This window comes from Homo sapiens, chromosome 15 (genome assembly GCF_000001405.40).
Source record: "Homo sapiens chromosome 15, GRCh38.p14 Primary Assembly".
NCBI classification, from domain to species: Eukaryota; Metazoa; Chordata; class Mammalia; order Primates; family Hominidae; genus Homo; species Homo sapiens.
The window spans coordinates 60,389,406-60,413,190 of record NC_000015.10 but is presented as its reverse complement, the minus strand read 5'-3'; the positions used below and the strand labels follow the sequence as shown (position 1 = coordinate 60,413,190).

The 23,785-nt window shown below is 44.2% G+C and overlaps 1 protein-coding gene and 2 pseudogenes across 12 annotated transcripts in view, besides 11 other annotated features; 1 reads left to right on the top strand and 2 right to left on the bottom strand.

The window, feature by feature from the left end:
* Window positions 4,954-6,153: an enhancer, noted in NCBI's record as "CDK7 strongly-dependent group 2 enhancer chr15:60699237-60700436 (GRCh37/hg19 assembly coordinates)". NCBI's record gives its function as "activates an origin of replication core promoter dependent on BRD2, BRD4, P300/CBP, MED14 and CDK7 cofactors, with strong dependence on CDK7, by STARR-seq in HCT116 cells {active_cell/tissue: HCT116}" and the evidence as "EXISTENCE:reporter gene assay evidence [ECO:0000049][PMID:35650434]".
* On the bottom strand, window positions 8,185-8,764 carry RPS10P22 (ribosomal protein S10 pseudogene 22; annotated as a pseudogene).
* Window positions 14,473-14,782: a silencer, noted in NCBI's record as "silent region_6496". NCBI's record gives its function as "represses an Ori minimal core promoter by ATAC-STARR-seq in GM12878 lymphoblastoid cells {active_cell/tissue: GM12878}" and the evidence as "EXISTENCE:reporter gene assay evidence [ECO:0000049][PMID:35858748]".
* Window positions 14,903-15,442: a silencer, noted in NCBI's record as "silent region_6495". NCBI's record gives its function as "represses an Ori minimal core promoter by ATAC-STARR-seq in GM12878 lymphoblastoid cells {active_cell/tissue: GM12878}" and the evidence as "EXISTENCE:reporter gene assay evidence [ECO:0000049][PMID:35858748]".
* ANXA2 (annexin A2) overlaps window positions 15,205-23,785 on the top strand; it is a 50,836-nt gene continuing 42,255 nt past the window's right edge. For 2 of the 12 annotated variants that reach the window (XM_017022092.2, NM_001002857.2), the window contains exons 1-2: window positions 15,205-15,248; window positions 15,853-15,933. Coding sequence is in view for 1 of the 12 variants with exons in the window: in NM_001002858.3 (NP_001002858.1) it covers window positions 15,278-15,320 (43 nt within the window). In the remaining 11 variants the exon portion in view is untranslated. Of the gene's footprint in view, window positions 15,321-15,852; window positions 15,934-16,763; window positions 18,815-19,750; window positions 22,979-23,785 lie in introns of all 12 variants that reach the window. The other 10 variants (XM_047432406.1, XM_047432404.1, XM_047432402.1 and 7 more) reach the window with 10 other exon arrangements.
* Window positions 15,513-15,652: a silencer, noted in NCBI's record as "silent region_6494". NCBI's record gives its function as "represses an Ori minimal core promoter by ATAC-STARR-seq in GM12878 lymphoblastoid cells {active_cell/tissue: GM12878}" and the evidence as "EXISTENCE:reporter gene assay evidence [ECO:0000049][PMID:35858748]".
* Window positions 15,676-16,267: an enhancer, noted in NCBI's record as "H3K27ac hESC enhancer chr15:60689123-60689714 (GRCh37/hg19 assembly coordinates)". NCBI's record gives its function as "activates a minimal SCP1, AML or CMV promoter by ChIP-STARR-seq in naive H9 embryonic stem cells {active_cell/tissue: H9 hESC(naive)}" and the evidence as "EXISTENCE:reporter gene assay evidence [ECO:0000049][PMID:30033119]".
* Window positions 15,813-16,002: an enhancer, noted in NCBI's record as "active region_9507". NCBI's record gives its function as "activates an Ori minimal core promoter by ATAC-STARR-seq in GM12878 lymphoblastoid cells {active_cell/tissue: GM12878}" and the evidence as "EXISTENCE:reporter gene assay evidence [ECO:0000049][PMID:35858748]".
* Window positions 16,023-16,072: an enhancer, noted in NCBI's record as "active region_9506". NCBI's record gives its function as "activates an Ori minimal core promoter by ATAC-STARR-seq in GM12878 lymphoblastoid cells {active_cell/tissue: GM12878}" and the evidence as "EXISTENCE:reporter gene assay evidence [ECO:0000049][PMID:35858748]".
* Window positions 16,133-16,182: an enhancer, noted in NCBI's record as "active region_9505". NCBI's record gives its function as "activates an Ori minimal core promoter by ATAC-STARR-seq in GM12878 lymphoblastoid cells {active_cell/tissue: GM12878}" and the evidence as "EXISTENCE:reporter gene assay evidence [ECO:0000049][PMID:35858748]".
* Window positions 16,268-16,859: an enhancer, noted in NCBI's record as "H3K27ac hESC enhancer chr15:60688531-60689122 (GRCh37/hg19 assembly coordinates)". NCBI's record gives its function as "activates a minimal SCP1, AML or CMV promoter by ChIP-STARR-seq in naive H9 embryonic stem cells {active_cell/tissue: H9 hESC(naive)}" and the evidence as "EXISTENCE:reporter gene assay evidence [ECO:0000049][PMID:30033119]".
* Window positions 19,253-20,452: an enhancer, noted in NCBI's record as "P300/CBP strongly-dependent group 1 enhancer chr15:60684938-60686137 (GRCh37/hg19 assembly coordinates)". NCBI's record gives its function as "activates an origin of replication core promoter dependent on BRD2, BRD4, P300/CBP, MED14 and CDK7 cofactors, with strong dependence on P300/CBP, by STARR-seq in HCT116 cells {active_cell/tissue: HCT116}" and the evidence as "EXISTENCE:reporter gene assay evidence [ECO:0000049][PMID:35650434]".
* Window positions 21,600-22,191: an enhancer, noted in NCBI's record as "OCT4-NANOG-H3K27ac hESC enhancer chr15:60683199-60683790 (GRCh37/hg19 assembly coordinates)". NCBI's record gives its function as "activates a minimal SCP1, AML or CMV promoter by ChIP-STARR-seq in naive H9 embryonic stem cells {active_cell/tissue: H9 hESC(naive)}" and the evidence as "EXISTENCE:reporter gene assay evidence [ECO:0000049][PMID:30033119]".
* RPL36AP44 (ribosomal protein L36a pseudogene 44) lies at window positions 22,457-22,853 on the bottom strand (annotated as a pseudogene).

Here is a 23,785-nt window from a genome sequence, read left to right as displayed (position 1 = left end):
TAAGGCCCTATCTCTTCCCTCTTCAAGTCCTGGTATTTTCATCGGTCAAACCTGGATATTGGCCGGGCGCGGTGGCTCACGCCTGTAATTCCAGCACTGTGGGAGGCCGAGGCGGGAGGATCACGAGGTCAGAAGATTGAGACCATCCTGGCTAACACGCTGAAACCCCGTCTCTACTAAAAATACAAAAACATTAGCCGGGCGAGGCGGCGTGCGCCTGCAGTCCCATCTGCTGGGGAGGCTGAGGCAGTAGAATGGCGCGAACCCGGGAGGCGGAGCTTGCAGTGAGCAGATATCGTGCCACTGCACTCCAGCTTGGGTGACAGAACAAGACTCCGTCTCAAAAAAGAAAACAAAACAAAACCTGGATATTATATGCCTTTCTAGCATATCCTACTGGCTGTAGTACCCATCTAATAAATAATGAACATGAAAGTTCTTTTAAAAATGCAACCCACTGTATAAATGTGAAGTATTGTAGTGGCACACGCCTGTAATCTCAACTACTCAGGAGGCTGAGGCAGGAGAATCAGTTCAACCTGGGAGGCAGAGGTTGCAGTGAGCCGAGATCGCACCACTGCCCTCCAGCCTGGGGGACAGAGTGAGAATCCATCTCAAAAAAAAAAAAAAAAAAAAAAAAAAGACTGTGGAAGTTATCTTGAGATGGGAAATAATCAAAAGCTTTTTAATGGGGGGGGTGGGTGGGAGTTGGGATAGGCAACATGGTTAAACTTCTAGAATGGAAAGTATGACTACAATAGATAGGATAAATTGAGGGGGCAGGTTGGAAACTACGGAAGTCTGAGGACATGGAGCTCAGGAGACCTTATTTTTCAATCTAAACCTAAGGCTGGCCAGGTGCAATGGCTCGCACCTGTAATCCCAGCACTTTGGGACGCCGAGACAGGAGAATTGCTTGACCCTAGGAATTCGAGAACAGCCTAGACAACATGAAAATACCTCGTCTCTGCAAAAAATTTTAAAAAGTTATCCGGGTATGGTGGCATGTGCCTGTCATCCTGGCTACTCAGGAGGCTGACGTGGGAGGATCACTTGAGCCCAGGATGTCGAGTCTGAGGTGAGCCATGACTGCACCACTGCACTCCAGTCTGGGTAACAGCATGAGACCCTGTCTCCAAAAAACAAAAACAAAAACACCCCTAAGTTTACAGTGATCAGTCCTACTTGGCAAGCTGTTCACTCTTGTTTCTGTGTACTAAATATGCCTGCCATATGGTGAGAATGCAGCCAAGCCAAGGAGATGGAAGGTGCAGATTTTAAATCTACTGGAGTGGAACAAATAAGTAATAAGGGGGTAAGAACTACAGACCCTCACACACAGTGGGGCAGGTGCCTCTCCTTCTTCTAGGCTCCAAAGCTAAATGGGATAGGGGTTCCTTTCAAAATTTTTCTTTGGAGAATTACATTTGAATTATATCATTTGGAAGTGAACTTTGAATGTGGAAAAAAGTGTGGTAACCTTCCAAGAAAGTCACTTAAAAAAATAATGGCTAACCCTTTTTTAATTTGTTTTTGAGATGGAATCTCGCTCTGTCACCCAGGCTGGAGCGCACTGGCGTGATCTCGGCTCACTGCAAGCACCGCCTCCCAGGTTCACGCCATTCTCCTGCCTCAGCCTCCCTAGTAGCTGGGACTACAGGCACCCGCCACCATGACCAGCTAATTTCTTTGTATTTTTTTTGGTAGAGACAGGGTTTCACTGTGTTAGCCAGGATGGTCTCGATCTCCTGACCTTGTGATCCACCCGCCTAGCCCTCCCAAAGTGCTGGGATTACAGGCATGAACCACCACGCCTGGCCGGATAACTCTTTAAATGCTACTTTTTGTCTAGCTGGTCTTTCTCCTAACCTTTTTAAAGTCGAACCAGGTACAGTGGCTCTGGCCAGGAGTGGCTCATGCCTATAACCCCAACATGTTGGGAGACTGAGGCAGGAGGATCACTTGAGCAAAAGTTCAAGACCAGCCTGAGCAACAGGGAGACCCTGGCTTTACAAAAACAAATTTTTAATTATTCATGAAGGATCATTTGAGCCCAGAAGTTCGAGACCAGTTTAGGCAACATAGTGAGACCCCCCATCTCTAATAAAAATTAAAATTAAAAAAAAAAAGATGTTGGGCTGGGGTTGGTGGCTCACGCCTGTAATCCCAGCACTTTGGGAGGCCAAGGTGGGCAGATCACTTAAGGCCAGGAGCTCGAGACCAGCCTGTAGAGATGGTGAAACCCCATCTCTACAAAAAATACAAAAAATTAGCTGGGCATGGTGGCACGTGCCTGTAATCCCAGCTACTCAGGAGGCTGAGGCAGGAGAATTGCTTGAACCCGGGAGACAGAGGTTGCAGTGAGCTGAGATGGCGCCACTGCACTCCAGCCTGGGCAACAGAGTGTGACTCTGTCTCAAAAAAAAAAAAAAAAAAAAAAAAAAAGGCCAGGCTCGGTGGCTTACACCTGTAATCCCAGCACTTTGGGAGGCTGAGTTGGGCAGATCACCTGAGGTTGGGAGTTCGAGACCAGCTTGACCAACATGGAGAAACCCCATCTCTACTAAAAATACAAAATTAGCTGGGCGTGGTGGTGGGCTACTTAGGAGGCTGAGGCAGGAGAATCGCTTGAATGAATCCAGGAAGCTGAGGTTGTGGTGAGCTGAGATCATGCCATTGTACTCCAGCCTGGGCAACAAGAGCGAAACTCTGTCTTAAAAAAAAAAAAAAAAAAAAGATGCTGCAGCCTTGAAAGAGAAAATTGGGCTTAAACGTTAAAACAAACCCAGCGCAGTGGCTCACGCCTGTTATCCCAACACCTTGGGAGGCCAAGGCGGGTGGATCACTTAAGGTTAGGAGTTTGAGACCAGCCATAGCCAACATGGTGAAACCTCATCTCTACTCAAAATACAAAAATTAGCCAGCCATGGTGGCGGGCACTTGTAATCCCAGCAACTTGGAAGGCTGAGGCAGGAGAATTGTTTGAACCCGGGAGGCAGAGGTTACAGTGAGCTGAGATCACGCCACTGCACTCCAACCTGGGCAACGGAGTGAGACTCCATCTCAAAAAACACGAAAAACACCAAAAAAAAAAAAAAAACAGTTAAAACAAAATGGTAATATGGAGACCTGTACTGTCAGCCCATGTGGGTCCCAGGCCATTCTCCCCTACCTCTCTGCCATTCCTTTTTAATTAGATATTAAGGGTATAAGGGCTTCATGTTTTTTTTAACAAAACAGGGCAGATAATTTTATAATATACATAATTTATTAGTAGACTAACAGAAGCAATGTTGACTATTCCAAGATATGATTTCTGTTTATGAAGGAAGAGTAGCTGCAGCCCTAGGAGAGGGGTCAACATCTTTGAGGACTGGCTTGGGTGAGTGGCAGATGCAGATGTCTCAGGTCCAACCCTGCATCCACTAACTCTGTACCTTCCTTTTTTTTTTTTTTTTTTTTTTTTGAGACGGCGTCTTGCTCTGTTGCCCAGGCTGGAGTGCAATGGCGTGATCTCAGCTCACTGCAACCTCCGCCTCCCGGGTTCAAGCTATTCTCCTGCCTCAGCCCCCCTAGTAGCTGGGACTACAGCCCCCGCCACCACTCCCAGCTAATTTTTATACTTTTAATAGAGATGGGGTTTCACCATGTTGGTCAGGATGGTCTCGATCTCTTGACCTTGTGATCCACCCGCCTCGGCCTCCCAAAGTGCTGGGATTACAGGCGTGAGCCACCGCGCCCGGCCTGTCTGTACCTTCTTAACTCTTTTGTTGTCTGGGTTCATGTTTCAGCTTGTTCCAGTTATCCAGAATGCCCACAAGAATACCACAGGTTTTGGAAGAGAAAGGGGATGGCAGATGTTAGCCTGTTCCTGTGGAGACTTACATAGGGCTGATGTCATTCATTGGAAACCACATCACACTTAGCTATTCCCTTGCTTGTGGGAATACTGGATTTTTAAACTCTTTTTTGCTGTATAAGTACATTATTCATGTTATCATTGAATATTCCATTTCAGTTCACTACATTTTTGAACATTTTTACCCTCACCAAATTATTACTTTTAAATAATATCACATGATTTTGAATATTGAGTATTTCAGGAAGTCCAAAATCTTGATTGGACTGATAGATATCCACTTCAGCCCTCATATCAGAATGATTAAATATTTTTTACAACCAGAAAATAAATCTTGCTGAGTTCACTGAACAGTGTTATCAAATGAGGGCCTGATCAAATCAGTATCCTCTTCTGCTACTATGTTTTCCCCTCTTAATCACCAGCCCTGGTCCAGAATGACTGCTAGCTCTTCCTCAAAACTCCTCTCAAGTGACCAGAATTTGCCTTCAGCTTTGAGGGAAATACTTAAGCAGAGGGTTTCCAAAACTATCTTCACAATGGTGGCATTAATCAAATACCTACCTTCTCTAATGACTAATTCTCTTCACCTGTTTTTATACTGGATGGTTTGTTTAAAAATAAACAGTCACACCTCTCTACATTGCCACTTCCTGCTGATAGAGAATACATTGGTTTATGTTACATTTCCTCTTTCATGGTTGTGCAATGGCTTCAACTAACTATGAGCAACTTTAATGCATTGGCCAAGATGGAATGGCTTACTTCCTTTCTCTAATGGTGAACTGTTCCTTGACAGAATTAGTCATTCTCTTATTGTATTCTCCTGGCACTTAGATTTCATATCTGATGCATTTGTCAAATTATCATTACATATTAACTTCCACTAGTCCTTAAGGTGGAGTTTGATGTTTCTTCCTATTATATGTGCTGTGTAGCCCTGCCTGGCTTGGCATTTAGTGGATACTCAATGTTTGTTAAATTGAATGACTCTTGGGGGTTCCTTGATTATTATAATCAGGTAGATACTGGCAGCTTTTTCAGATGGTCAAAACCAATTAGATTTCTTTTTATCTTTTTTTTTTTTTCTTCTTAGAGACAGGATCTTACTCTGTCATCCATGGGGGAGTGCAGTGGTGGGAATCATAGTTCACCGCAGCCTCAAACTCATAGGCTCAAGCTATCCTCCTGCTTCAGCCTCCTGAGTAGCTGGGACTACAGATGTGCACTGCCATACCCAACTAATTTTTTTTTTTTTTGTAACAATGGGATCTTGCCTTTTTGCCCAGGCTGGGCTCAAACTCCTGGCCTCAAGCAATTCTCCCACCTTGGCCTTCCAAAGTGTTGGGATTGCAGGCGTGAGCCACCACGTCCAGCCTGAAACAAGGTTTTTATCTCTACGATGCGTTCTTTTTTCTTTTTTACTGATTTCATAGAAAAATATTTATAAAACAATTGATAAACAGCCAAGTCCATGTAATTGATAATTACCAGAATAGGGAGTCCTCTTTAAAAATATGTCTTAGTTAGGAGTATTATAAGTTTGTTTCTTCATTATTTTACAATTCTAACAGTTTTTCCTTAGATTCCTTCCTTTTAAGCTGCAATATAACCTGAATACTGGAAGGGTTCTTCTTCCCCCTCCCTAGTTGCTTTAGCTGATGAATCATAGAAATCAGAGAAGGGGAAGACCAGTGAAGTCATCTGATTCATCTCCAAATCAGGGAGTGGAGCATTGGAATTTGGGGAAGACCAACCTCTCATTTTAAGAGAAAAGAGGTTTTTTTGGTTTTTTTGTTTGTTTGTTTTTCCAGCTTGAGCTGATTAGAGCAGCTTACCCATCTGTTTGCCTTTTGCTTCTAACACAATTCTGAGACCCCACCCTATTAGAAAGCAATCAGGCCTTCTTACCAAAAACCCCAGGAAAACCAGATGCCAAAATGTTAAGTAGTTGAACTAAAATTCTACTACCTGAGTAATAAAGTTGGTTTATGAATCTCTCAGTGATTGTTTTAACTGAGTCTTACAGAATTTGAGACTGTTTTAGCAGGGTCTTACAAATGTAAGAGCTAGCAAGGAATTTACAGATGATCTGGGCCAAAATATTCTGTTCTCCAGATGCTAAGAAACTAAAATTTATTTATGTATGTATTTTTATATTAACTGGCTCAGAAAGTAAAAACTAAAATTTAGATGTGAAAAAATGTCATTATGCTGTAGTCAGGAGTATAAACCTCTCCCTTCACTGCTCTCTGTATCACAATGTCACGGTATCCTCCCTCACAATGTTCTCTTCCACTGTCTTCTTCCTTTCCTCCTCCTTCTCCTTCCTATTCTTCTCTTTTTTGCATTGTTTGAAGAAATGGCAGAGATGATTTAGTATGCATGCCAGCGATTCATTCCAACCTCACCCAATCTCCCAGCATCATGGTCACAGAGGCAATGGATGCCACCCCAGCCCCAGCTGCAGCCTGTCCCCTCCCTCCTTGCTTCCCTCCTACTTGCATTTGTGTTCTTCCAGCCATAGAACTTGGCTTCCCCCTCTGTTTAAATTCTGCTCTTGTATTTCAGACTTTTTAACAGATCAGAGTGCCCTTGGCTTCTCCCTTGGTATCTAGCTTAGCTGTACTCCAACTTCTCATGTTCTCCCAAAGCAACCATATACCAGCTCTGGCCTCTTGGGTTACAAAACTGGGTTCCATTCTGCTTGCTGCTTGCCAACACTCCCTGAAGAGTGGGGAGGAATATTTGCACTCTATTGCTAGTGATAGCTTTAAGTGTGTCCTTAGTGTATATACCCATATTTAGTCACCTAAGTATGTTATCACAGGTTCACTTTATTAGAAACCTAAGTTCCTTTGCAACATATGGACATTTAACAGTTGCCTGTTATAATTATCTTAATGATATTCGACACAGCTTTATTTTACTTTAAAGTGATATTTCTCAATTGCAGCTATATGTTTAAATAATCTAGGAGCTAAATACATGCTGGGGCCCCACAATCCAAAGAGTCTGAATGAAAGCAACAACTTTATATGCATGTATTCAATTACACAGGGATACCCCTCCTAATTTGAACAAAAAAGGAATTCAGAGAAAGAAGGCCAATCATATTTGGTAAAAATGATCTATTGATCTACTTGTAAAAAGGTTTAATTTTATTATTCAAAGTACTTCCATTTAGAAATCCTATTGGGCCTTTTCAGTGAACAGATAAATCTTGTCTGTGTTTGGCAATATAGATGTGCATGTATATGATTAATGTGCTTAAATTATTACATTTGCATATTAAGGATCAAGTTTTTGAGCTAAAACAGAATTTGATAATTTTTTAGTCAAAGACCCTTATTTTCCAGGTGAGGAACAGGACCAGAGAGCTTAAGTGACATGTACAAGTACACCCAGTTTATATAGGAGCTAGGACCGGAGCCCAAGCCTCCTGAGTTCTATGATGAATATCAGAGTATCCAGTAATAGAGTCCACTCCAACAACGTCAGGTCTCTCAACATGGAGAGCATGTTATGAGCCCCACGCTGGGGTTACAAAGATGAACAAGGAGCTCCTAGTTTGATGGTGCAACCTGAAACATAAACAGTCATAGTACCAAGAGATAAAAGATGTAATACAAACAATACAAAGCTTATATGAACAAAGAAATGTGCTCTACCCTTCCCATAAACTTCATGCCACGAGTTATCTTATTTATTATATTAATTTGCTTAGCAAGCTTTTTTTCTTCATGCATTGTATGAAATATATAAGCATTGGCTCTGCCTAAGTTGTATTCTCATAGATTATAACTAGAAGAAACAAAATCACATGAGATGTTACAATATTGAGTGTTTTCTTTGTCAGCAGAGAGTGCTATGATGTCCATCTTTTCCTCTATTTATAGATTTTTAAATTATTGTTTTCTTAAATATACATGAAAAATACCATCAAAAAGATTCAAGTTTTCCCCAAAGCCTGGCATGACCTGTCATAATCTTAAGTGTAAGAAGACAGCCCTTCTTTTCGCTGGCTATATGTCTTTTTTTTTTCAACTCTTTTTAAAACTATAGAAGGTGTCTCTATTAACTGTTAACAAAAATCAAACAATGCAAACAAGCATATGTAGTAAAGGTGAACACTCTCCTGAACAAATACTTTTCCCAAAGCTGACCAATATCACTTTGGTGTACATACTTCCATATATTTACATATGTGCTTACATGAACCTACTTATGCAGACATATATGAATATACACATAAATGTGTGAATACACATAAATATTAACATAAATAGAATCAATTTAGTCATATTATTCTGTTTGACTTTTTTTTTTTTGGCTGTAAGTTTATTCAATGCAAAATAATCCTCTCCAATTTTACTGAGATGGCTGACCATGTCCACGACCAAATCTGCCTCTAAACTGGAATTCGGTTGCTGACCCACTCCCAGCATCGGCTTTCTTGTCAGCACCAGGGAGCACAGCATTCCATCTGTAGGTATCCCTGTTGGCTTCCCCTCTTGTGAGTCTTGCAGGTCACTCACCCTCCAGACCTTTAGGCCGAGGCCTGCCAGTCTCTGGACGGCTGTGGCATAGGGTGGCAGGCACAATCTCCGGGGGCAGATGAAGGTAATCACGGAGATGGTGGATACCCTCATTGGTAAGGTACCAGTAGAAATGTCTCCAGGCAAACTGTTCCTTCATGTAGCCTCGGGACTTGAGAGACTGCATGGCCTTCATGACATGAAGGTTGGGCACATTCTTGTCTGCCAACTCTGGCTGCTTAGGCGTGTAGACATCCTTCTTGGCCACCATGGCTCCCTCCTTAAAAAGGAGTTCATAAATGGCAATCCGGTTCTTCTTAGGCATCAACATTTCGGCGGCTGTAGCGTCTGGGGCCGGGGCTGGAAAAAAAGGAGACTTTTTTTTTTTTTTGAGACGGAGTTTTTCGCTCTTGTTGCCCAGGCTGGAGTGCAGTGGCGCAATCTCGGCTCACCGCAACCTCCGCCTCCCGGGTTCAAGCGATTCTCCTGCCTCAGTCTCCCAAGCAGTTAGGACAGTATTTTTCATGAAATAAAATATTTTGAGTGAATATGAAAACACACAAAAACATAGCTGCATTTTGAATGCTTTTATCTTTATTAAGGGTCTACTGAATGTATTTTGGGTGTTTTGAATTTTTTAACTTTGAAGACTAATTCCATTTTTTAACTTTGAAGACTAATTCAAAGTTAAAAAAAATTCAAAACACCCAAAATACTTTCAATAGACACTTAATGAAGATAAAAACATTCAAAATGCAGCTATGTTTTTGTGTGTTTTCATGTTCACTCAAAATATTTTATTTCATGAAAAATACTGTCCTATTTTGAATAGGCTCTATGGCTAAGAAATACGTATTGTATTGCAGAATTAGGGTTTTTTTTCTATTGATAACAGACACTTAGCAGCTAAATATTTGTATTTTCTACAAAATTAGATGGAAAAATGCTGTTGGAAGAAACAATAGGCTGATAGGGTTTGAAATATTCATTCTCTGACATGCCAATGTATAAATGCAGTAAAATGTGCTGAGTTAAGAATAAGATGCTTACACCTCAGGAAGCATCCCAATATTCCAGTGGGTTAATATAGGAATGATCTTGACAGAGTGGGCATCTGTAGCCAAATCAGTTTTCATAATGTTTTATACATCATATCGTAACTTAGCAATCCAGCAAGACACAGTTTTGCACTTACATTCTGCTTGTTCTTTCATTTAGCACTATATTTTGGAAATCTGTCCATGTCAGAACATGTTGATCTACTCCATTCCTTTCAGCAGCTTCATTCCACTGAACACATACTCTAAAATTAATTTAATTTAGCCTCATTGATGGCCACCTAGGGTGTTTCAATCTTAAAATGCTGATATAAATGTCCTTATACATATATTGTTATGGTCACGTAGAGCTCTCTCTTCAAGATAGCTTTCTTGAAGCAACATCACTGCATCAAAGGGCATGAGTATTTTAAGTATTGATAGATACTGACAAATTGCCCTCCCACCGATAATGTCTGAGAATTCCCATTTTGCCCATTTTCACCACACTGAATACTATACATTTTAATTTTTGCCAGGTGAGTTTAAGTATGAACAAAGGCAAGGTAATGCGTTTATGGAGAAAAATCTGATAGTAACAGGTACTGGGTAAGATAATGTCAATGCAAAGAGGAAACATCCAAATGCCTGTCCCCAAGAAGCTCCTGCCTAGTTGCTGAGACCAACAAATTAAAAAATAACAATGCGAGGTGACAATTGCAAGAGGAGAGGTATATTTTTAAAATGCCAAGAGAAGTAGTCAAATCTGCCTGAAGGGCTTGGGAAAGCCTTTGCTCTGCAGTAGAAAATAATATTTACTCTGAGGCTTGATGGATGAGGCAAAGTTCACCACTGAGGAAAGCAGGAAAGGGCATTCCAGCAGGAAAACAGGATGGAGGAAGGTACAAAGCATGAATGAGCCTGGCCTGTCCAGCAGTGGCACATGGAGCGGTGAAGAGTGAAGATGTGGGGGAATGAGGCTGCCCAGGTAGGTCAGAGCCCTGCTGGGAAGAGTTTCTGGAGAGGGGTCATATAATCAGAATTATGTCTCAGAAAGAGAATTCTGGCTGTCTCAGAGAATGAACTGAGGTCAAAAATGTCTGTTACAGCTGAGAAAGAGACATTGAAGTCACTGCAGATTTTTCCCTGGAAATGCCTCCAAACAAAATAGACATTGTGGTTTGTCCATACCAAGAGTACTCTGTGTGGTTTGGGTCATGACACGTGAATTCAACAAGGATTTATTGAGGTCTTACTATGCGTTCAGCAAGGCCAGCTGCTGCAAAGACTAAAAAAGCCAATGAAATAACTATGGCTTTTTTCATCACCTACAATATACCAGACATTCTTTATACATTTTTTAATCTTTTTTTTTTTTTTTGAGACGGAGTCTCACTCTGTTGCCAGGCTGGAATGCAGTGGCATAATCCTGGCTCACTGCAACCTCCGCCTCCCAGGTTCAAGCGATTCTCCTCCCTCAGCCTTCTGAGTAGCTGAGATTACAGGCACGCGCTACCAAGCCCAGCTAATTTTTGTATTTTTAGTAGAGACAGGGTTTCACCATGTTGGCCAGGATGGTCTGAATCTCTTGACCTTGTGATCCACCCGCCTTGGCCTTCCGAAGTGCTGGGATTACAGGTGTGAGCCACCACGCCCGGCAAAAACTTCTTTTTAAAGACTCCAAGAAAGATTTAATGTGGTACTTCGAAGACGATCTCAGGGCTTCTAAGAATCTTAAGTGCATTGTCCCACTGCAGCCTGACATGTAAAGTAGAGAGAGATCTATTTAAAAAAAAAAAAATGAATGTGAATCTTGGAACATGGAATTAAACCTCAGCAAGATTTATATAAATAAAGTTTTTGAGAAAATTGTATATAAATCTTGGAGCATGGTGTGAACCTTAATAAGATATGGAAAATCTACATGGTTTTTAAGATACTTGTATTAATGAAACAACTGCCAGCTTAAACCAGAAAAAGTGCAAAATGAAAAGAAGTTTCTAGACCTTTCAGTTTCTCCTGGCATGAATGAAGCAGACTGAGAGAACTGCTCAGCTACAAATATGGGCCATTCTTTTTTTTTTTTTTTTTCTTGAGACGGAGTCTCGCTCTGTCACCCATGCTGGAGTGCAGTGGTGCGATCTCAGCTCACTGCAACCTCCCCCTCCTGGGTTCAAGCCATTCTCCTGCTGCTCAGCCTCCCGAGTAGCTGGGACTACAGGCGCCCGCCACCACGCCCAGCTTAATTTTTTGTATTTTTAGTAGAAATGAGGTTTCACCATGTTGGTCAGGCTGGTCTTGATCTCCTGACCTCATGACCTGCCCTCCTCAGCCTCCCAAAGTGCTGGGATTACAGGCGTGAGCCACCATGCCTGGCCTGGGCCATTCTTAAGAAAAGGAAATACATCTTAAAGGGAGGAGCCTAGATATCAGAGGGCAAAACCAAAAACTTGAGTAGGGCAATGGATTAAAACAAGGATCAGCAAACTACAGCCCATAGGGCAAATCCAGCCTATTGCTTGTTTTTGCACAGCCTGTGAGCCAAGAGGCCTGGCAGCTTCAGCTTTTGCTTCTAGAAGGCTGGCTGCCATGACTACCGTGGTGTAGCAAAAGAGGAGAACCTGGAGGATGTAAGACCAAGGAAGAGAAAGGCCCAGCCTGCTCTTTGTCATTCTAGCAATCCCAGCTCAGGCGCCAGACGAATGAAGCTGCTTTCAATCTTCCAACCCCAACTAAGCTACCCAACCCAACATGCTGTGGAGGAGCACCAAGCTGTCCCCACTGGGTGTCCTGCTTAAATTGCAGAATTACAAGCAAGTAAATGGTTATGTTTAACCACTAAGTTTATGGGGATAATTTGTTATACTGCAAAGGTAACTGATACGAGGGCCTTGGGTGCATTATTTAATCCCTGGACTGGGCAGGAGATTTTATTTGGACTCCAATTTCTTCATATGTAAAAATCAAGAGCCGGGTATAGTAATTCACGCCTGTAATCCTAGAACTTTGGGAGGCTAAGGTAGGCAGATCACTTGAGCCCAGAAGTTCGGGACCAGCCTGAGCAGCATAGCAAGACTTTGTCGTCTCTACAAATAATAGAAAAATTAGCCAGGCTTGGTGGCGTGGGCCTGTGGTCCCAGCTACTCAAGAGGCTGAGAGGAGAGGATTTCTTGAGCCTCCGCAGTCAAGGCTGCGGTGAGCCCTAATCATGCCATGCGTTCCAGCCTGGGTGACAGTGTGAGATCTCAACTAAAAGATATAAGAATAATAATAGTAAAAATCAAGGATAGGGCAATTTAATCTCTAGGGTCCCTCCCTGCTTTAACATTCTATTATTCAGTGAATAATTGTATTTTATCATTCTATCACATTTAGTGAGTGCCTATCATTGCTAGCTAGGCGCTAGTAGGTGTTGAGTGCAGCAGATGAAGTGTGAACAAAACAAAGTCAAGCACTTAGAGAGCAATATGGACAACAGCAGACAATCTGAGGGCTGATGTAAACATTCTCCTCAACCAGGGGGGAAAATAGAGTCTTCTGACTAATAAAAGATCTTTTATACTGGAAGAACTGGCCTCACATTCCTCAGAAATAGCAAACTATGACTTCTAATAGCTTCATTTTTATGATAACATCAGTGCACATTTCTTTAGCATGATGCAAAGACTGGTGATTGTACAAATCTATAGAAGTTAGAATTTGTGGCATGCCCAAGATGAGCACAAAACTCTTTTGGACATTTGATGGCTTTTATATATTCCACATGATTTGAATTAAATTTTATCTTCTGTAAAGGGCCTATCACAGCACGATTAGGAGTAAGAGACTGTGGAACCTATCTTGAGATACACAGAAGGGAGGCTGAATCGTGCCCAATATTACTGTCTGCCTGTGTTCCCCTAACCTTCCAAAATGTTCACACAAAGTAAGCAGATAAACATTGTTTCTGACTTTGAAGCTTTCAGGCTAAATTGAAGAGCTATAAATGTAAATCAGCAATTGTACCCAAAGTGTTGCTTGATTTTCTATTTGGCTCTGTGGTAGGGCCCATCGCGTATAATTCCTCGTGAAAGCGCTGGGTAACAGAAAGCTTTGGGCGGGTTAAAAGACCTCAGCTGTGGCCGACTTTGCCTGTGTCACTCTATGCGAGTGGGCAGAGCACTGAATGTCTGTTGGCCTTGCTATCATTCTCTGATTCCCAGGAGTGAATTGACGCTCAAATGGAAAGTAAAAATGGATGTTAAGATAAATGGGAGATTGAAACACAGAATCATCAAAACCAGGAAAAAGAGCTGCAGGAAGTAGTGTGCAAGGAGGGGTTTAAAAAACGCAGCCAGAGATCCTCGGGATTCTCAGCGTCGCTTTCCTGTTAGTTTGAGGTTCGAATACAGTATTTGCGTCGTCTCACATACAACAAATAGGTGTCTGCCTGCACGTTGCCAACGTGACTCTTGGAAGAAAAGCGAGAAGCAGCAAAACCGAGCAAGGGAGTTGGCTAAACGGCTGCAAGAAACACACACACACACACACACACACACACACACACGGAAGAAAAGCGAGAAACAGCAAAACCGAGCAAGAGAGTTGGCTAAACGGCTGCAAGAAACACACACACACACACACACACACGGAAGAAAAGTGAGAAACAGCAAAACCGAGCAAGGGAGTTGGCTAACTGGCTGCAAGAAACTCTCTATCTCACTCTCTCTCTCTCTCTCTGTGCTGCAAGAAACTCTCTCTCTCTCTCTCTCTCTCTCTCTCTCGGAAGAAAAGCGAGTAACAGCAACACCGAGCAAGGGAGTTGGCTAAACGGCTGCAAGAAACACACACACACACACACACACACCACACACGCACACACACACCCCAGCAGTCATGAAAGAAGGAGAGGAAAGTTCTTTGTTGAAACTCCGGGTTCGAAACACACACACACACACACACACACACACACACACACACACACACACACACACGAAACTCCGGGTTCAAAGCTATGGGCCCCACCCCGCTCAGGACTGCCTGCTACGAGGCCGCGCAGAGATGCCCCAGGCGCGGAGAGAAGCGGAGCACAGCCGTGCTAGGGACAGGGGCGCCACCCTGGGCGGGACTGAGGTGGGATCCTGGCTCCCGGCTTTGGCCTCCCAGCCCAGGCTCGGGGCTTCCTGGCCCTCGGAGGCCGGGGCGGGCCAGGCTTTGCAGCACAGGGCGAATCTCCCTCCCTCCCCGGGCGCCCCCCGGGAACTGGCGGCCAGAGGTTAAGCTGACATGTTTGCAGACGGTAATGGGGCGCTGGATGCCAACAGCCCCAGCTCAGGGGAGTCCAGATTTATGTTTCTTGGAACAATTCTTTCCTCCATTGCATTAACGCCAAAAAAAAAAAAAAAAAAAAAAAAACACTTAATCAAGCCCAGAGTCTACTACTAAAGTCTTGTTAATTTATTAACCCAAGCCGAGGCTGAGAGCTCGACGTGGCACTTAAGAAGTAAAATGAGGAAAGGAGGAAGAAACGGGGTCCCTGTGGGCCTCGGGGCAGCCTCGGCCGGGCTTTCTCGGAGGGCAGGGCCAGGGGCGCTGGGGCCGCTCCCGCGTGGCGCGGCTCGGGAGCGTTCCAGGGCGCGGTCCCTGCGGGCCGGCGGGCCGGGGTGAGTCACCCCTGACTTGGGGTGGGAGCGGGCCGTGTAAGGGGGAGGCGGGGCGGGGCGGGGCGGGCCTCGCCTCGCCTAGGGAGGATGTGGCGGGTATAAAAGCCCCACCCAGGCCAGCCGGCTCTGCTCAGCATTTGGGGACGCTCTCAGCTCTCGGCGCACGGCCCAGGTAAGCGGGGCGCGCCCTGCCCGCCCGCGATGGGCCGCCAGCTAGCGGGGTGTGGAGACGCTGGGAAGAAGGGTACGGCCTGGCAGGGAGGCCCCGGCAACTGGCCCCGGAGGCCGTCGGGGGCAGGGGGCTGAAGGGACGGCCGGCACTGGAGAGTCTTTGGGGAGGGGGCTCAGGGACAAGGTGTTTGGGGCAGGGGTGAGGGGCCACCGGCCCTCGGGCCGGGAGGGTGCAGGGCAGAGGTGGTGGGGGGTCGGGCTTCTCTAAGAAGCCCTAGCGGGAGCGGGGCGAGGCGGCGTGGGGAGAGGGGCGGAGGGAGGCCCCGCATTCCAGACGCGCCAGGCGCCGCCGAGGCAGGGCGTGGCCGCCCAGGGAGCCGCAGGTCCCCGGCGCAGCAGTAGCAAGTGGGCTTTCCACTGCCCTCTAGAAAGTGCCCCCCATCTGCTCTAAGTTACTGTACTCGAAACAAACGCGCGCTTGTGGAGTTGAACCGACCAGCAGGAGGGAAGTAGCGGGGGAAGACGAGAGGGGGGAGTGTGAGTAGGCACCCCTCAGCCCCCCATAAAAGAAGACATTAAAACGTCAGTTATTCCCCTTGCTCTAGGTTATCTTGTAGCATAGCAACTTCGGATTTCACTCTACCCGGAGAGTTTCCCGCTTGGTTGAACACATTGGCCTCAGGAAGGTAGTGTCCCCCATGATTCTGTGGGGAGGGTTGTCCTGTTACTCGCCATGATGTGACAATGAGTCAGGAACTGAGAGTAGAGAGAAGGGCGTGGCCCCGGGGCCTCTCCCTTCTGGCCGCTCTGTGCAGCTGGCCCCACTGCTGGTGTGGAGGGCTTGGGTTCCATCAGCCGGCTGTTGAGAAGAAGGAGGGGAACACAGATAAGTTTCCTCATCTGGGAAGGTGGCTTAAGGATGCCTATTCTTACCACCACCCAGAGTTATTGGAGATTTCAAAAAACACAGTCATTAGGTAATAAATGTGTAAAGTACACAAAAAACAAAGTGCTGTGCAAATGCAAAGTGTCATTTTTGTAGTAAGATTGCCGTTTTAAAGCTGTGGGTGTTCTGAGTGCGTGTGTAAAAGAGCAGTGGCCTCATGGGTGCACGCTGGGCCATTACCAAGAACCTTAAGTTGTTGGTGTGCAAAGGCCTGGGCCCCAGACTGTACTGATGGATTCTGTTCACACGTGTGTGCTACTGTGCCTGTCTGGAACTTGGTGACTTGGAATGCAGAATGCACTTTCCCACTGAAACAGTGTTGCAGAAGGTGCTGACGTTCCCAGGCTAGCCCTGAAAGACCTTTTTAACATGCACTGCCTGATTATGGGATTGGTGGTGGGGAGGTGGAGGGTAGTGAGGGGCAATGTGTGTGTAGGAAGACTAAATCACTGAAATATTTTTCTGGAACTTTTTTTAGCTTTAAGGTTGACACTGAGTAAATTATTTTAATTGGAAAATTATGTCTTTGCCCCTGTTCCACTTTCTTTTTTCCACCTTCCACCTCCTTAGAGACGCTCTTCTGGCTCTTCCGTGACGCATTACAACAGCCATCCAGGCCGGTCCAGTTACGCTGCATTCCTTCCTCCTTCCCATTTCGGCGGACCTGCATCCAGCTAGAGACTAGCAGATTGAATCGATATTCATTAAGTTAGGAATGGTTGGTGGTCCTAAGAGCCTCAGCAACCGAGAGGAGTCTTGTTATTTAAAAAACAACGATACTGGGCGTGGTCGTGGGCCTGTAGTCCCAGCTGCTCAAGCTAGTGGATCTCTTGAGTCCAAGGCCAATGTGAGCAACATAGCAAGACCCAGTCTCAAAAAATAAATACATAATAATAATAAAAAACCCTCGTTCACCTAAACAGATCTATAATTTATAGAATGTAAAGCAGCAATATTCAGGCAATATTAAGGAAGATTTTTGGTAAGACTGGGGCAGCAGAGGTGCCCTTGATGGGCAAGGGCCAGGAGTGTTAACACAGTCCTGCTTAGTAATTTCTTCCCTTCTTCCAAGTCTGTCGATTATCTAAAGGTCAAGGGTTTGTCCAAAAATGTCCCTTGCATCTGCAGTGGAAGGATGTGACATGTATGTGCATTTTTACAATTGGAGGTTTGTGATTTGGAGACCGTTTAGATTTTGTAATTTCCCGCAGTGCCAACTAGACTGCCTGTGGTAAATGCCCAGGAAATATTGCTGACTCACTGACTTTGATTAGGAGCTCAGTCTTGCACTGGAGTCTCAATATTTAGCATCTTGTGTCTTTGAGCTATTAAACTATGGTATTGATTGACATTAGGCTCGCAGTCATGGCCGTTAGTTTCCTGGCTAATTTCTGATTTAAGTAGTTTTCCTGGCAAAGTAGATGTGCTTCTATAATTGCTATTGATTTTGAGGGCTGTAGGCTCTTCCTACACCACTGGGCCTAGAATCTGGCACTAATGCATTGTCTGGAGCCTTTGTTCTCACCCTTCGCTTGTGCAGAGCCTGGAGCCTGCGGAGACATTTTTCATTAAAGGAGAGCGGGATTGTCACAAAAGGAGTCTCAGGCTCTAGTGGGCTGCTTTAAACAACCATTTATTCCACAAAATATTAATTACCTACTGTGTTCCACTCATAGTTATGAGCACTAGGGATACAGCAGTGAACAAAACAGACCCCCGCCAAAAATAAAATCCCTGCTCTTTAGACCTTAAATCTGGCGGAGAGAGAAGGAAAAGAGACAAAATAAGTGAATTGTTGGATTTTAAACTTTATATTTTCCCAAATTAATACTAGTTTCTAAACTTGGTGGGAGTTCATTTCCCCTTTAATCCAGCTGTTCCACAGACCTAAACTTCACATTTTACCTACCTCGGGGAAGTTTTGCTTAAAATTATGGTGTCTTAAGCTGCCTTCCAGATTCAATTGTGAGAATTAAATAGAAATGGAATGTTCCTCTTTTTTTTCACATGAGAATCCTCTTCACTTGCCCTGGTGCCACACCCTATTCTAGTTGTAGGCCACACCAGAGGAAATTCCAGTCCTTCAAAAAAATTCTTTCCACCCATTCACTGCCTGGTATCTTTTTTCTTCTGCTGTTGCCAGAGGCAGTCCTCATCTACTTTCTCCAGGGACAGGTCAGCAGTAGGGGTCAGGAGATGCCCATATTTGTCCTTCTGGGTGGTTCTACCAGATGACTTCCAAATCTCCCTTCTAGGGTACACCCTGAAGCTGTTTTTTTTTTTCTTTTTTTTTTCTTTTGAGATGGAGCCTGGCTCTGTCACCCAGCCTGGAGTGTAGTCGCACGATCTCTCCTCACTGTAGCCTCCGCCTCCCAGGTTCAAGTGATTCTCCAGCCTCACCCTCCCGAGTAGCTGGGATTACAGGTGCCTACCACCATGCCGGGCTAATCTTTGTATTTTTAGTAGAGACAGGGTTTCATCATGTTGGCCAGGCTGGTCTGGAACTGTTGAGCTCAAGTGATCCGCCTGTCTCGGCTTCCCAAACTGCTGGGATTACAGGCGTGAGCCACTATGCCTGGCCCACCCTGAAGCTTTTAATCCAGCTGAGCTCAACTGGACAGGTCGGTAGCACCCAAGTGGCCTGAGTTTTACCCCAGGTGTGGTGTAGAAATTTCTTATTCTAGGGAGTGACTGTGTTATGGAGCCCTTTGTCCATGTCCTTTGTCTCCCTGCCACACCCAGGCTATACACTCACAGCTCAGAGGAAATCAGAGTCCTAAGGCCACTCGTACATCCTGCCTCTTTGCTGCCTTCTTGCTAGGAGTTGTAGGTTACGTTCCCATGTGGTCCTATGGACAGAGCTAGGGTCCAAGTATCCCTGACAGCACAGAGGTGGGGGGCATGGCTATATGTTGATAAGAGGCTGCCCTGAAGCGACCTGCTGGGCTTTGCTAAGATTTGCAGAAGTTGGTGATTTAAGCCTCCAACTCTGAATGCACGGAACTGGAACTGCATTCGAAATGTCCAGTCTGAGGGAGAGAGAAAATTGAGGAAGGAGAGTGTGTTGGAAAAGAAGAAAAAAAGACTTTCTAATATAGAAAGACCCAGTGTGTGTAAACCATCCCAAGATGAAATTGAATGCCTATCGTGTGCCAGGCACTGTGCTCAGACCTATGAGGAAACAGGAGGGAGTTAAGTTGGAAACCCTGTGGGCGGATAATACGGAAGACAGACTTTACACATGTAACTCTAATGTTGCACAGACACACAAAAAGCTGCAGAAGCACAGGGCAAGGAGGGGTGTGTGAGAAAGGCGGCATTTATGATTTCCTGTATCCTAAAGACTCATTCAGATGTCAGCTAATTAAGATTGAGGTTCCTGGTGGAGGGAACTTAGAAAGTGCTGAGCGTGTTTGGAGAAGAGTTAACAGTCCAGTTAACTCTTCTGTGCAGGATGCGTGTATGCATGTGTGTGTGTATAGAAGATATTTAAGGAAAGGTAGGTAAGTCCACAGTGTGGAAGGTCTTGAATGCTGACATTAGACTTTTTTCTGTAGGCGGCCAGGCCCTGTTGAAAATACAATATGTGGGCCATAAAACACTGAAATTGAGTTGCAGACTTGAAGGCCTGGATTTCCCAACCCTGAAAGTGCTTCATGCCAAGTGACATCATTCTTCCTGCCGGTCTCTTTCCACCCACTCCAACCCCAGATCAGGATACCAGCAGAGAGAGGCTGTGAGAGCATGAAGCTGCAACAAGTCAGTAGGGAGCAAACAAATATTGATTCAGATCAGGCCACAGAAGAGACAAGCTGGAGCAAGTGCTGTGTGTCCCTCCTGCTCAGTTTGATCGAGGTCACTGGGCCGAATTCCAGGAATTCTGGGGAATGAGTTGGCCCTGTGACTCAGTCATTAATCAAGACCATAAAACCAAGGAGAAGAATATCTGCTTTCAAAAAGGTTCTGATAAATAAAGATGCAGTAGGTGGGTGGAGGATGGAGTACAGTGGGAACCCCTCTCCTCACCCAGTACATTTTTTTTTTTTTTTTTTTTTAGTTTAAAATTCCAGTGTGGCCTGTAGACTGTGTGTCCAGGACTGTGTACAGTAAGAGCTTTGATGGAGAACCCAACTCTCCACACTCCCACCTCTACCCATTTTTGCTTTAAAATCTTCATTTGAATCACCAGTCCCTGATTGATTCACCATGGTTGCTAAGAATCTGTTTTGCGGTAACGCATCAACACTCCACGTTTAAACTGTGAAGTGGGTGTGTCCACAAAACTTCTGGATTAGACTCAGATTTGCCTGTGCAGACCAGCCCTGTTGCAGTATGTTTTTGTTTGTTCAGATTAACATTTGGGCTTTTTGGAACTGGTTCTTAATTTAGTTCAGTAGAATGTGTTTTTACTATTTGAAGTGTTGACTTTTAAGTTTTCTTTTGTTTGTTTGTTTTAACCTTTTTGTAAACTTTTACTCTTCTTTTTGGGAGTAAAGTTAAAACTGCTTCACTTGTCCTTTTTTTGTTTGTAACTGCACTTTCGTAGTGAAGCAATAGAATACAATAAAATCTATAGAGTTTTTTTTTTTTTAATAAGGACAAACCCTTAAATTATTAGGTTGGTACAAAAGTTAATTGTGGTTTTTGCCATTAAAAGTAATGGCAGTTATTTTTGCACCAACCTAAATAATATAGTCCTTATGTTAAATGTAAATGACTTGTTTCTCAATAACTGCACTGATTTCATTAATGATCAGCCTTGCACTGTGAGCTTTTTTAGCCAGGCATTCACAGTCTCATTTATCAGCCTTTTCAAGGCAGAAGAAACTGTTCTTTTCATTAGGGTGGGGCCAAGTGACCTGTTTTCCTACCCAAGTAGTGAATGATTTTAAACCAGTTTGAGGTGGGTATGGCTCTTATCAGTGAGTCTCCCTGTACCTCTAGTTTATTTCCTTAAACAGAAAAACGTTCTCTGATAAAGGGTCATTTTAATGATGTTGTCTAGTGACCCTGCCCTCCCTGGGAATGGAAGGCACGGCACTGATGTGTATGTAGATGTACTCATCAACAGATTGAATTTGCTGATTTTTTTTTTTTTTTCTTGTTGGAGAGTTGAAACCAGTCGGCAAGCTGGGTGAGGTTGAAGTGTTGGAAAGAGTGGTGCAAACTGCCATTTTCATGTTCTTTAGAGAAGTCTGCCAGAAAAGGAGTAGTGGTTCTGTTTTTAATGGATTTATGAGTTTTATACGGTGATGAGGAGTGAGTAGAGGTGAAATTGTCTCATACAGCATGTAGGCTTTATTTTTTATTTTCATTCAAAACAGTAAGTACACTGAAGTCAGAGTAGTTGTTTTCAGTAAGAAAATTCTGCCTCCAGAGCAAATGTTTTGGTGAATAGATAAATATGAGTACTGAGTCCCAATCATTTTGGCTCATAGGTTCCCCAGTATTTCCATAGGCAAGCTTAACTTTGCACCATTCAGAGACTTATATTTTAGGTTCCCCACAGGGCACCCCACTGGACGTGGCTCATTTTCCAGCCTGTAGTCTTGTTCTTCTGCCACCCTGGGGCATTATTCCTCTTCCCCTCTCCCCAGGCCTTCCCCCTTGCTTCTTGGCTGGAACCTCCCATGGTGATTCACCCTTCTCAGCCTAGGCAGACAGCACCTCCCTGTTAAGCCCTTAACTAATCCCGCTCTGATGGCTGTGATCTTTCTCTCTGTGTCTTAATCACTTGGAATAAAGAACCATTGTGGTGAGGTTGAAAGGGCATTGGCCCAGGAGTCTGGGGATCTGGGTTTTGGCCCTGCCTCAGCTACTTAATTCACTGGGTGACCCTGGACTAGACTCTCAGTGTGTCACAGAGGCACGAAGGGAAGAGAGCTCAAAGGTCCTGCAGGGTGGAAGTCTGCATTTCACAGTTTTATAAGTGTCTTTTGTATCCTTTAATATAGTGCAGGCTCAGCGTATGCTTGGTATGGGTTCGTTGATTAATTCCTTGCGTATTACCAGTGTTTGTAACCTACAGTAGCACTGCCAAGACTTCCTTTTCCTGCTTTCAAGGATAGCAGCACACTGACACATTCTCATTAGTCAAATATGCTATATTAAACTAATGTTTTAACAAACAGTGAATCGCAAAGCCAACTGTTCCTTCCAGCGAATAATAGATCATATGCAAAATGACTTTGCATTGCTAGGGGATTTGATGGAGTGAAGAAGCAAGCACTGTATTTTATTTCTTTTTATTTTGTTTTGTTTTTTGGACATAACCTCAAGATTTTATTGTCCTCATAATAAAACAAAAGATGATGCTTAGAACTGGATCACTTGGCCCTTTCTTTTGTTATCTCCTCCCAGTTGAAAATGTTTGCATGTCTTAACAGCCAGCATTTTCTTAGATCTGCAGATGGGGTCAGCACACTCAAGCCTCAGCACAACCTCCTTTGTAATTTTACCCGTTTTCCAGAAAATTGCCTTAGTCTACCCACCATAGTCACTCTGCTTCTTGTCATAACGCCGCTTTCCCTGGGCATACAGGGAGTCCTGGTATTGTGCCGTTTTGTGGGGTTGGTGCTTGCCACACTTCTTACAGAAAGCCCAGTGGGTTTTAGGAATGTTCACCATGTTTTCCGGAATGCTATCGGCATGGGAGGAAAGTGGCCATATTTTATTTCTAGGGTGAAAATGTTTGCCATTAAACTCACATGAAGTAGGAAATATTTATATGGATACAAAAGGCACCTGCATGGGATAATGTCAAATTTCATAGATACTGCTTTGTGGTAAGTGTGACTTTGTGGTTATTGTGATGTTTGTGTTTTGTTTTTTTTTTCTGCAAAATGGTTATACATAGTATAAATGTTATGCAAAATAGCAACTCATTGTTTTCAAGTTGATTTAGCACCTGCATTATGTAAAGATAATCTGAAATCTGTAGGGGGACTGGGACTATGTAGGGAAGATGAGGTCAACCATATACTTTCTACTGCTTTGAATTGTACCTATGCATTCACCATTTGAATACTTGGCACGTGTAGGGCACTTAAAACATTCTGCCGAATGGATGAATGAAGTGGTATCAAAAAGTGCCCTGGCAGTGAAAGGCAAGATAGAGTTCTGTAGAGTAGGGGTCGTGGTGACCCTGTTGGAGCAGATACTGAAGTAGTGGTGAGTGCGGAGAGGCAAGTCACATTTTGGCCCTAGTCAACTGTAGCTGAGGAGTAAACAGAGGGAACTGTTTACTGTTTACAGGATTCTGATGCTCATCTTTGAAGGCTGGGCTCTGCTGGAGGACTGATTTTGAATGATGTCAAATGATTTTGACAAGATTAAATGGGGAGATTTAGTTGGTGGTGGCATGCAGGACTGATTTGATGAAAGAGCAGCACAGTTATGAATGGTGAAACCGAAAGGAAGATTTGTGGGGCTTTTAACAGTCTCCTCAAGGTGTTGTGGCTGTGGGAGAAGAATTAACATGAATGGAGAGTGTAAAGAAGCCTATCAGATTGTCTTTGATCTGCACAGTACTGGGGAGTCCCATGTGGGACACGGGTAGGCAGCAGTCTACAAAGCTCAGAGCTGGAAAGACA